Genomic DNA, 13,257 nt, shown 5'->3' with positions numbered 1-13,257 from the left:
ACCATTTGTTCATATAAAACCCGTAAGTTGCAAGCAACACATTTTGAGAAACCCTGTCTAAAATTTGCGTAAGTCAGGGAAACATATACATTAACAAATAATTTAGATCAGGTTCAGAGATGACAGAGCAAGAGATCTATGGAGATATCCTTATAGAACAGGTGAGTGATAATCCTTATAATCGGCCCCAAAATATTCCTTGTGGCTATTAGCAGGAAGGGAATCCTAAGCTGGGCTGGGCAGGCTTTTCACATTACAGTCTTTCCTCATTGTGGGGGTGTGGATGACTGTGTGAGGGGGTGTGGATGACTGTGTGAATGTATTTGTGTTTGACCTAGATAATCAGGTGGTTTAGAAAAGAAATAGAGCACTGGCCTAATGATCACAAGGTACGGTGTGTTTTTGGCCTTTATCATGGACTTGTGATGTGACATCTCAGCAGTCCCAGCGCTCCACTAGTTAGTGTGGATGCTGTTGTACAACCTCCATCCCTCTGTGCAACACAGGCCTTTAGTGTCCAAAGGCCTCTCTGTTCACTTGGGACCTCAGCAAATGCTGTCTGAAGGTGAAAGGGAAAAGGAGCATGTTGTCGGGCTGATGACATAATGTCTACAATGTTCCGGTCACCTCAGGAGGAGAAGGTTTGGTGCAAAGGACCCTGCTGTTCCTGAGGGAGGTGTGAATGACTGCCTGACACCCTATATAAACCCTGCAGCACAGCCTGATTGGGCCACACAGAATGTTTGTAGTTAGATGCTCCTATAACAAAGACCCTTTGGTTTTAAACAACAGAAACCACCTTGAACTTGCTTTGGGAAAAGAAGACACTTTTAGGGTAGTAAAATACTTAAGCATCTGATAAAGTTTAAAGAATTTAAGCAACCACATCTCAAAGTTCAGAAACACAATGGTGCAGGGGATCTGCCTTTTTCTCTGTGTCTGTGTCTCAGCTGTAATTCTTGGCAAAGAGAATTGTATAGGCCCAATTATTGGTCAAATCCCCACTCTAGTTCATTTAGCTATAGCATAGCTAATGGCCATGTCTCTCTCATTTTTTCTGTTAGAATCCCAATTTGTTCAGAAGAGTGTGACAACAGCTTGATCTCAGGGAAGATAAATTCCCACTGCAGTCCCAGAGGATGAATTGTGATAGTCTAAACCAGTCATAGTAATCCCATTTTTCTTTGTCAGTAATTGGTTGACAGTGGCATTGTGACCCAATTCTAATGTAGCAGTTATAAATAGAAGTTAGTTGGATATGATTCTGGGAAAGCTTTTGTCTTTCCTATAAAAAGGAACAACAGATTTACCAAGCATGGCTCTGTCTCCTTCTGCTTTTCTCCTTCTCTGGAATGCAGGCATGATGCCTGGTGATTCAGCAGCCATCTTGTAACCATGATGTGACAAGTATGAGAGGAAAGCTGTGTGCTAAGAATAGAGGGTGCAAAGGAGAAAGAGCCAAGGTCTCTGTATGGTTGAATTGCTGCACTGACACTGGACAGCATCCCTCCTGATTTGTTCTTATTTGAGAAAAATGAAAACCTATTTGTTGACATCACAGTGTACTTTAATAGGTTGTTGTTATTGTTGCCTTTACCTGCAACCAAAAACATTCCTAAGTGAGAAAATTATATAGTAAAAACGGGTGCCAGGAGCCAACTCCTATGGCTCAGAGAATGATTCTCAGATCTTTAATGGGATAGAAGAACAGGGGATGGCACCTACAACGGTTAGATATTCAAAAGTATCTACCAAGCCACCCTGGAGTCTTGAAATCTCACCACTGCTTTAGAGCATAGAGAGAAACCCTGTTCATGCCACTGCACACCTGTCCTAGATAGAATTAACTAACTAATTCTACTGATATTTATTGACTCTGCATTATCTGCTTGACATTTTTCTAGGTGCTGAGGATTGATTGGTGAAGACAGAGAGGGTCTTGGTTCTAACTGAGCTCACATTCTAAAAGAGAAAATAGAAAATAAACACGAAAAACGAATGGGATCACTTCAGAAATTGAAAAGGTCTATAAGAAAAACAAAACAGGGTGTGTGATAGAGGGTTGGGGAGGCTGTGACCATGGAAGGCCTAAGAAAGTGATATTTGAAATGAAACTTGAGTTGCAGAAGGGAGCCAGCTGTGCAAGGCTGAGGACCAAATATTTCAGGAGGGAACGGCCAAGGCAGAAATGAGCATGGCCTGCTGGAGACCGAGAATGAACTGTTAGTGGGTTCCCACTGCACAGGGCCTGGGGAGGCTACCCATGCTCATCTCATGGTAATGTGCCAGCAACTCAGCCTACTGGCATCATGATGAATCTCCGGGCTGCTAACTGGGCTTCATGTTGCATAGGTGAACTGTCCCGCCACCTGCTTGAGGCTGGCAGAGCCCAGGGGGTGAGACCACTGGGGGTGGTCTATGTAGTGGACTCTCTGAACAGAGTGACCAATTCCCTCGTGTTCTTTCCCTTTGAGAATGGATCCATCATTCTCAGCTGCAGCTCCTACACTCTCCAGGAGACTAGCTTCCCTTGGAATGGGGTCAGCCCTGCTCTGGAGGGACTGGGAGAGCATTCAGCTAGCACACAAATGCTACAGGACCACGCTCCAGTTGCCCCCTCAAGTTATGACTGCCCCTGTTGACATTGTCTAGTGCTTGAGAGTCCCCTGTGTAGAGACCCTGCAGAGAGGCAGGAAGCCTGCAAGGGCCCTGGGCTGGTCATACCTGACATCAGTTTCAAGTGATACTTATCAGTGAAGCAGTCACATGAGATCACAGGGCTAGAAGATCCCTCAAAGGTCACAATGTCCTGCATTCCTTGTATGTCTGGCTTAACCCAGAGCAAAAGTGTCAGAATGCTACCACCCCAACATCTAACAGGTTGCCTGTGAAATGGGATATCCACTCACCTCTGGTAGACAATCCAGTTTTCTTTTCTCTAACACTTGAACTTGCTGGCCATTGGAACCACTATAATTATAATAGATGTTAGATTTCTTGTGTGAGTGATGGGATGTGAGGAACGTGATTGTTCCACTTAGAAGAGTAAGGTTGCCTAGAAGTACCCAACCTGCCATTTAGAAATCCTGGGTTTGGTTTTCCTACACCCCGAACACAAAACCACAAAATACCAAAGTTGGAGGCAACCTTAGTGATTAATATCCCTCCTCTTACAGATGAAAAAAAAAAAAGGAACATGACCTGACCAAGGTTAATAATAATACTGCAAAGGAAGGCTCTTTGGGATTCACATGGCCCTGTCATAGGTGTTTATAGAATTTGGTTGTAATGTGCCCTCTGACTTATAGGACGAAGAAAAAAAATCCTTGCATGTCAACAATATGTGCCATCAAAGTTCTCCATGCCTCTGTCTGGTTTGATTCTCACCATCCTATGTAGTGGGCATTATTTTTTCTCATTTTACACACAAGGAAAACAAGGCCCGGAAAGGTTAAGTCCATTCAGTTAGTAAGTGGCAATCCTGAGCTCAGGCTTCAATCTTCTGCCTTTTATTCAATATCATTTCCAAGTCCATCTCCACTTTGATTCTCTGGGGATTGAGGGTATAGTGGAAATTAGCCATAACTTGGGTAGGGCAAGATATATAGGAGCTCTAAAAGTCTCTACCCTATTCTGGATGCAGATACTGTGGGTTGCTAGAAATTCTAAAGAAAGGATTCTGAGTTTTAGTGACTCACCTTCATTGGCATGTAAATACTTCCCTCTTAGAACCACTGTAGCTGGAGCAAGGGCCTCATGGCTGCTAACATAATTTGGTGCTGTCATCTCAGCAGCTGCCTTTCCTTATCTTAAATACCACCTCCCAGGATAGTGTGGCACTGAAAAGCTCAAGCTGTTAGAATCTGCTGGCTACTCCAATTCCTGGTTCTGTCGCTTTAGATGACCTGAGCGATATTATTTAAATTTCCTGCATCTCAGTGTTTCCATCTATAAAAGGGAGCTAGTTATAGTACCTTCCTGAGAAGGTAAAGACTAAACGAGGTAAAAAACTTAGGAGAGTAAAGTGCTCAATAAATACTAGCTGCTGCTGCATTTGCTCTTGAGACAACCGAAGGAATTCTGTCACAGAGCTGAGTTTTCACCAGGAGTACAAAAGGAATATGTTCATAGTTCATGGACTCGGTGGGCATGCCAGGGTGACAGGTATCCAAAAGACAGAATCACATACAGTTTACTTCTTTTTTTTTTTTCAGACGGAGTTTCACTGTTGTTGCCCAGGCTGGAGTGCAGTGGCGTGATTTCAGCTCACGGCTACCTCTGCCTCCCGGGTTCAAGCAATTCTCCTGCCTCAGCCTCCCAAGTAGCTGGGATTACAGGTATGCACCACCATGCCCGGCTAATTTTGTATTTTTTAGTAGAGATGGGGTTTCTCCATGCTGGTCAGGCTGGTCTCAAATTCCCGACTTCAGGTGATCCGCCCGACTTGACCTCCCAAAGTGCTGGGATTACAGGTGTGAGCCACCGCACCTGGCCCAGTTTACTTAACTCCGGGGAATGATTGCTCGGACCTTATACAACAAGGGTTATCTTCATTTTCTGCCAGTATCACCCCTCTGCCCCCACCCCCCTCAACAAAGCAGAAGGCTTTAACTCACCCACCTGAAAAGCTAAAGCTGAGCTGGAAGTTATGATTATGTATTTATTTAGTCTGAAAGAAGGAACAGAAGAGCCTTTTATATAACTTGAAGAGTGTAAAGGAGCCAATGATAAAAAACATTGCCCTGAACTTTTCCAAAGCACCATAAATCTCTCTGTTATGATTCTCCAGTTGTTGCCAAGGTATCATTTGTCTTTTTGTTTTTGTCTTCAGATAGACGAAAACAAACGTTAACGAACTTCCTTCTGTTAGTTTGTGTATCTGTGATCCAAGGCTATAAAAATGCTACTCTTTCAAGTTACTCCCATCATTTAAAATACACCTGATGCTTATTTTGTGGTTTCTCAGTAATATTCTGATTTTAATTTGATTGCTTTTTATGTTTGTGTATTTTCCCATTCAAAGCTGTTTTTTCTCCCTTCCCTCCCTTTTGTGTTTCTCTCTGTCTCTGCTGATATTTTTTGCATGTTTAGATCATCTCTCTACTGACCTTTTAGTGGCTTAGCATTTTGTTGCAATGCACAAGTGAAGTTGGGAAACAGAGCCAAGTGACAAGCTGTGAAGTAACAGCTCAGCCTTCACAAAGCAAATGTGCTTTGTGCACTTCCTTGCCAGAGCAGATGTGGCCTTGGTGGACTGTGGGGAGCATCATCTCTCAGGTAAAAATAAATTACTAAGATTAGGACCAAATGATGCAAATCCTTTCATTTGCAAACAGATCATGAACTGGCAGCCATGTGGAAAGAAGACTAGACTGCGAATCACTTAGGATCCCACCCTCGGTTTAGTCTAGAATACTCTGCGAATCAGCTTTTTGGCCCTAGGTGAGTGATTTTAAAAGACATTAAATGTGCAAATGCATAAAATGAACTCACGTAGTTCATGGACACAGGTGACATAGGAAGTTAATCAACAAAAAAATAGAATGAAATAACAAAACTCTGTGTCCCAACACCCAGTCTGAGGCAATCCTAACATTTTGATGGGTTTGATTCAGACATAGTTGAAGTTCTTTGCAGACTTCTTAATCCCATTTCCCTTTCTTCCATCCAGAGATAAACACTATCTTGCAGGTACATGCTTTCAGACCTTTTCTGCATGCACATGCACCTTTCCACAATATGTACTGTCATTTTGCATTTTTTTAAAATTAAAATAAATGGAAGCACACCACACATATTCTACCATTTGTTTGTTATCTAATTTAGCATAAGATCTCAACGATTTAGCTCTAGTTCATTCATTTGAACTGCTTTGTTTCATGAACAGACCACTATATATTTATCTGTTCTTCTGTTGATGAACACTTAGATTGCTTTTAATTTTACACAATTATAAACAATGCTTCAGTGAGTGTTCTTGTACATTTCCTTCTCCTAACATACAAAAGCTTCTCTACAATAGCATTTTTCAAAATGTTTTGTCCACACAGCTACATGGAAACCCAGCACATACATGTGCTACATTTATGTACATGTATGCATATATGGAACAAAAGTTTCTCAGAATAATATTTATCTTTATTTTCTACTTAATTCTAATTCTATTTATTTTATTTTATTTTATTTTATTTTATTTTATTTTATTTTATTTTGAGACAGAGTCTTGCTCTGTCGCCCAGGCTAGAATGCTGTGGTGCGATCTCAGCTGACTGCAACCTCTGCCTCTCAGGTTCAAACCATTCTCCTACCTCAGCCTCCTGAGTAGCTGGGATTACAGACACATGCCACCATGCCCGGCTGATTTTTGTATTTTTAGTAGAGACAGGGTTTCACCATGTTGGCCAGGTTGGTCTTGAACTCCTGACCATAAGTGATCCGCCCACCTTGGCTTCCCAAAGTGTTGGGATTACAGGTGTGAGCCACTGCTCCTGGCCTACTTATTTATTTATTTTTGAGATAGTGTCTTGCTGTGTCACCCAGGCTGGTGTGCAGTGGTGCAATCATGGCTCACTGAAGCCTCGATCTCCAAGCTTCAAGTGATCCTCCCACCACAGCCTCCTGAGTAGCTGGGACTACCAGTGTGTGCCACCACGCACAGCTAATTTTTTTTTTTTTTTTTTTTTTTTTTTTTTTTAATTTATGGGATTTCACCACATTGCCCATGCTGGTCTCAAACTCCTGGGCTCAAGCAATCCACACGCCTCAGCCTTCCAAAAGGCTGGGATTACAGGTGTGAGCCACCACACTTAACCTCTAATTCAGTTTAACCTGGACTATTTCATACACCATTTTAATTTAGGAAAGGGTTTTATGACCCAGTGATGCATCTTCACTGACAAGTTGAAGAACAGTTCTGGGATACATACATAGACATGGACCTGCTGGATCATAGGTTGTTCCCATTTTCAAACTGATAAGTTTGTCTACGTGAGTTCATTTTATGAATTTAAATGGATATTTGTATTTAGCTAGCATTCCATGTATTTCTAGAAGGAGGCTTTCCAGGTTATTTAGTTTGCTGGAAATGGAAGTCCTGTGTTAAACGTTCTGGGTTTCAATTTTTTATCTGTCACAAGAAACCACACACACAAAAGGTAGTAGACCCTTCCGTATTTTGTAGGGTCCTTTCTCTGCAGCCCTGGGGAGAGTTATGGGGGTCTGCCACAGTGTGGGTAAGTTGTGGGGTAGAGGTAGACACAGGGAACGGGAGAGAATGAGTAGATGGAGTTCTGGGTCTTTTACCACAGTCCCTACCCAAGGAGCTCCATTTTAATATTGATCCATTCTGTATCCATTAGATTGAATTGGCAAAAGGGTTGTGTAGCTTAAAAGTATTCTTAAATGGTGGGTTTAGATGTCTTCCAAGGCTCTTTCCAGATCTAAACAAATGGAAGTAATTTTTAAGTCTCTGGACCATTTAAAATTGCAGCCAGAATTAAAGATGGCTTATGGTATAAAGTTTCGTGAGTAGGGGCTAGGCAAACAGTGTTTGTTTATCTGAGTGTCAATGTTCTCTTCCTGCCACGTAGAACCTGGCTTGGATGGGATGCTTTTGGCATCCTTGAAGGCAAGGAGTTAGGTGCGCCCTCGGGCTGGAGTTGCCCCTTTGAGGGCAGCCATTTCTGTGCCGTCGTATTGCCTTCATGGCAGGAAGCTGCTTTAAAAAACTACTTTGTTTTCATTGTGTTTGTTTAATTCTGTGAATAAGGCTCTAATATAAATTTTTCTGAAATCCATTTCAGCCCAGCACACTGTTCCACATGCTTATGATAAAGCTCATTTGCTCAGCAGGGTACTCGGTTAAACCTTTATATTCATAGGGATGACATTTTATTATCATTTTAATGAAAATATTTGCTTCCTCCTGGGTTTATTTTTGCCTTCCCAATATAGGAAAAGCATTAAAAAAAAAAACCCCACCAAAAGATGGGGTAGCAACTTGGTAGTAAAGTGAATTAGGGGTGGGCATATGTTAATTAATTTGTATAGGATCCTGGACCCCTTTTCTAATAAATACCCTCGCCTTCTCCACTTCCCCTGAGCCTAGATCACTGCTTCTTCTCAGACTCTAGTCCCTCCCTTCAATTTGTCCTGCTTGTATTTCATCTTCTTTAATCACTGTTTTCATCACATCACTCCCATGCTCAGAAACCCTTAAGGGATTTTTATTTCCCACCATTTCAAATCTAAACTCAGCTGCCTGTTTTCAAGGCTTCTCCTAATCTGTTCTTTCCTTACATCTCCAGCTTTATTTCCCTTGCCAGATGTGGCTCTGGTTCCTGTGGTTTAGAGATAATGGGATTTTTGTACACCAAAAAAAAAAAAAAAAAAAAAAAAAAATTAAGATCTGCGTCATTTTTCTTAGGCACAGTTCAGCCCAGTTCCCTTAAACAAAAGCACATGTGAACAATTATTGCTTACCTCCCCCACAGGCCATGTGAGGGAGACTGCAGGGTCCTTCAGGCGGCAGGAAGAGGAAAGCAGTTTATACACTGCTGTTTCTCACTATTTTGGGAGAAGATGAGGACCTGAGAAAGGTGACTTTAGTCACTGCAGTGGTTTGTGAAAAGCTCTGCCATTTTGACCAGACAGGCAGAATGCAAATATAGAAGGAGAGTATGAAAGGTATTAAATACCAAGCCAGAAATGTCTGGCTCAGAAATCTGTAAAGAAGTAGGTCCTGCATAAGGGAAAACTCAGCAGATCACCAGGCTCTGGAAAAGATATTGCAGGAGTTGGTGAATGAAATTTAAGAGAAGTCTTCCATATTGGAGAGGGCTTTTAATTTATGTGGAGTAGCTTGTTTTCAACTTTTGGTTTATTGTGGTGGGTGAGTGTACATGTAATTAATATTATTTACTTTGTTTTTCTCTATTTCAAAAAGTTCTGGCTCTTTCACTTAGTAGCTGTATAATTTGGGGAATGTTTTGTCTTTCATAAATGGATATAATAATGGTATATGGTATGTAGGGTCATTGTGAGGGCTAAATGAGATAATATATTTAAAAAGCATAGAACATCATTCAAGAAAAAATATCTGTCATTTCTGTCATCATAATTATCCTAAGTATGCATAAGCTGCTCTTCGTTTGAGCAGGTGCTAAATAAAATTCTACCTTCTCTCAAAGTACCTTCAGGTCAGTTAAGTTCAGCAAGCATTTCATGAATGCTCCATATATGTAAGGCACTGAAGATACACTGATGATATCACACATGTGACATTGACTAGCCCTTAAGCAGCATACTTTCTAGAAGGGAAGGCAAACCCAGAAACTGATTATTTCAGTATAAGGCTGTACTGTCCAACATAGTCATCAGCAGCCACATGTGTCTACTGAGCACTGAGAATGTGATTAGTTTGAATTGAGATGTGCTCTTTGTGTAAAACACACACTTGATTTTAACAAGTTATTATTGATAAAATAATGTAAAATATCTAATTAATTGTTTTAACATGGTGTCAATTACCCGTCAAAATGATAATTAGATCAGTTAGATATCGAGTTATATAAAATATACAATTAAACTGAGACGGAAGAATGGCATGAACCCAGGAGGTGGAGCTTGCAGTGAGCCGAGATCGCGCCACTACACTCCAGCCTCGGCGACAGAGCGAGACTCCGTCTCAAAAAAAAAAAAAAAAAAAAAAAAAAAAAAAAAAATATATATATATATATATATATATATATGTGCACAATTAAAATTAATTTCACCTGTTTCTTTAGATTTTTTTTAAAAATGTGGCTACTGGACATTTTAAATTTATGTGGCTCCTGTTATATATCCTTCCTTTTTTATTTTGAGACGGAGTTTTACTCTTTTGCTCAGGCTAGAGTGCTGTGGCGCGATCTTGGCTCACTCCAACCTCTGCCTCCCAGGTTCAAGTGATTCTCCTGCCTTAGCCTCCTGAGTAGTTGGGACTACAGGCACACATCATCATGCCTGCATAATGTTTTTGTATTTATGGTAGAGATGGGGTTTCACCATGTTGTTCAGGCTGGTCTCAAACTCCTGACCTCAAATGTTCTGCCCACCTCGGCCTCCCAAAGTGCCGGGATTACTGAGCCCAGTGGCTCCTGTTCTATTTCTATTGAACAGAACTGGTCTTATGTGACACAGTGGAGGTTAAAACAGGGTACAGGGGGAACTCAGAGAAGCAGCAGGTCATGCAGCCTGTCCTCCTCCCCGGGAGAGCAGGTGAAGCCTGTGCTGAGTGTTAAAGGATGAGCAGAAGTTGTCCAGGCAGAGCCAGGTCTAAAGGGCCCTCCAGATGAAGGTAACAGGAAAGGCATGAAAGACATGGTATTTCTAGGCACTGGAAGCATTTGGTTCTTCATAAAGCATTATGAATTAGGGACTGGCAGAAGATGAAGCTGCAAGAGAAGTGAAGCCTGGTCTTGCAATTCTTTAACATCTAGCTACCATTAAATGCTCTGGTCCTTGACTTATACATGACGTCTGGTTATTTTTCCACTATTTATTTCTTTGACGTTTTGGACTATCAGCTGCCGACAGTTGGAGGTTTACATCTACGAGGATAGACTTTCTTAGAGGATAGGACTGATGTATGCACACTTGCTGGTTGGCAGGCAAAATGTCATTTTTCCTCTGTAGATAATCCTAAAGAGTAGATGGGCAGCCTACAGTTGCTGCCAGGAGGTGAGTAAGAATGATGAATGAGAATCATAGGAAGGTGGGAGCCCTTCACACGGTCTGAATCATTGGGCCCAAGGAGACTGTACGTGGCTGCATTCACATCCATTTACCTGTCAATGGATTTCAGTGGAATCCCTCTCCTCCCAAATTCTCACTAATAAGCAATGTAGTCATTCATCAGATTACATTAGTTTGGAAGCTCATTATTCTATTCCAAACCACCCACAGGTCTTCTGCCTTTAATGAATTATGTATTCAGTGGGGATTTGGTAGGTCATGTAAGATTAGGTGAAAGAGGGGTAGCAACAGGAGAACCCAAGAACCCAAGTGGATGGAGAGGCTACAGTTAGAAGACCTCTTCCACATCTGCTTTTCACTCTTTAATGTGCATATAAGTCATGTTCTTTAGAAATGTAGATTCTGATGAATTAGATGTAAGGATGGGGCAACAATCTGCATTTCTATCAAGTTCCCAGGTGATGTCAGTGCTGCCAGTCATGGACTGCACTTTGAGTTGCCAGGTCTTAGAGACCTGGTGTCTACTACAGTCTCTTACCAAGGCTGGAATCTATATTGCAACAGCCCTAATGAGTCATTAGAAGCCCCTGCTGGAAGACCTCTGTTGTGTTTCACCTCCTCTGCCTTTGTGGAGTGAGTCTTATTGTTGGAACAGTTTGTCTTGTCCCTAGAAGCTATCTGGGCAATTTCTGTACATTGGTTCTTGTTCTATTTTTAGAACTGCTAAGAATAAGTCTAACACCTCTTTCTCTTGACAGTCATTTGGAAATTTGAAGAAAATTTTTTATATTACTCTTAACCCTTCTTTTCAGTGGATTAAATCTACTCATCAACTTAGCTGTTAAACACAGAACTCCCTGGCATTTCCCAGGAATCATGTGCCTTAAGTGCCCCTCTTCTAATTGAGCACAATGTTCCAAGCTTTCTCCAAACATGAAAGAATAAAATGGGCTTGTTACTTATCTAGCTATTGATTCCCTACTTCTGCCAGAGAATCCTCAAGCATCTTGGTTGTTTGGCAGCTACATTAAACCTCAGATTCAGAATGAAATTGGTTGATAAGAAAAAAGCCCAGTTTTTTTCTCACTGGTTGCCATAGACTCATCTAGCATTGTGGAGATGATTTTTTTTTTAAAGAAGCTGTGATTTTTTTTATTATGAAATATTTAGAAATTTAGAAATTATGAGCAAGCAAAATTACCATTCTTAATGTGTTGAAATATAAAAATCAATTTTTTTCTAGGCATAGGGATGATTGATTGCATTGATTATTGATTACATTTTATAAGGGCCTTGAACAATCTTTTGTGAACATGTTTCGAACAACATCATTTTTATTAGCTAGATGATATTTAATCACATTGAAATTTTTGCAATTTATTCAACCAGTTTCCTATTATTGGACATTCATGTTGTCTCTGATTGTTTTTTGTTATTAATCAGTGCGTTTGTAAACACCAGGTACCTAAATTTTATATACATTTTTGAAAATGGTAGGTTCCTATAAGTAAAATTACTGTGTTAAAAGACAGGATAATTAAGGTTTTTGAGCTTATTATTATAATCAGTCATATTGTCCTTTAGGAAAGTTTTAATAATAGAATGCATTATCACTAACAGTAATTTCACAGGACCAATCTGCACCCACATTCATTAAAAAACGCCTTTGACACTTTGATGAACAAAAACAAATGGAGTTCCATTGTTTTATTTCGCATTTTAATAACTAGTAAGATTGAACATTTTAAAATTTGTCTTTTGCCATTTAAATTTCTTCTTTGAGGGAATAAACTTTTCTATCAGAACATTTTTATTTTTCTTAATGATTTGTAATAGTTATTTAAGTGCAAAGGCTATTAATCCCGAATAATTTTCCCAATGCATGATTTTCTTTTTAGTTTTTTATTTCATTATGACTGGAATGTGTTCTGGATTGTGTCTCCTATCAGATTATTATTTTTTAAACATTGTTTTGTTTTTAATTTTTGTGAGTACATAGTAGATGTATATATTTTTGAGGTACATGAGATATTTTGGTACAGGCATGCAATGTGTCAAAATCACATCACGGAGGCTTGAGTATCCATCCCCTCAAGCATTTATCCTTTGTGTTACAAACAACCCAATTATACTCTTTAAGTTATTTTAAAATGTACAGTTAAATTATTATTGACTACAGTCCCCCTGTTGTGCTATCAAATACTAGGTTTTATTCATTCTTTCTAACTACTTTTTCTGGTACCCATTAACGATGCCCACCTTGCCCCAGCTCCCGCACTACCCTTCCCAGTCTCTGATTAACCATCCTTCTATTCTCCATCTCCATGAATTTAATTGCTTTGATTTTGAGATTCCACTACTAGATTATTCTTGATTTTAGGAAAGTTATATATTTTTGTGTAATAAATTAGTACAAAAGTACTTGCTCTTTCTGCCATAATGGCAAAAGCACAAAAGTAATTTGGTTTCTGCCACAATGAGAAAAACACAAACGGAATTACTTTTGCACCAATCTAATATGTA

The 13,257-nt window shown here is 40.2% G+C and overlaps 1 long non-coding RNA gene across 9 annotated transcripts in view; it reads left to right on the top strand.

Moving 5' to 3' along the window:
• LOC101930053 (uncharacterized) overlaps positions 1 to 13,257 on the top strand; it is a 121,382-nt gene that overhangs the window by 8,020 nt on the left and 100,105 nt on the right. For 5 of the 9 annotated variants that reach the window (XR_001746603.2, XR_929430.2, XR_929429.2 and 2 more), the window contains exons 1-2: positions 4,296 to 4,337; positions 5,092 to 5,442. This is a non-coding gene — a long non-coding RNA (uncharacterized LOC101930053). Of the gene's footprint in view, positions 1 to 1,904; positions 2,025 to 4,214; positions 4,338 to 5,091; positions 5,443 to 13,257 lie in introns of those variants that run through there. The other 4 variants (XR_007061397.1, XR_007061396.1, XR_001746602.3 and 1 more) reach the window with 4 other exon arrangements.

Source organism: Homo sapiens, chromosome 9 (assembly GCF_000001405.40).
Source record: "Homo sapiens chromosome 9, GRCh38.p14 Primary Assembly".
NCBI lineage: Eukaryota > Metazoa > Chordata > Mammalia > Primates > Hominidae > Homo > Homo sapiens.
The sequence above is the reverse complement of the archived record's forward strand: the minus strand, read 5'-3'. Positions and strand labels throughout refer to the sequence as shown.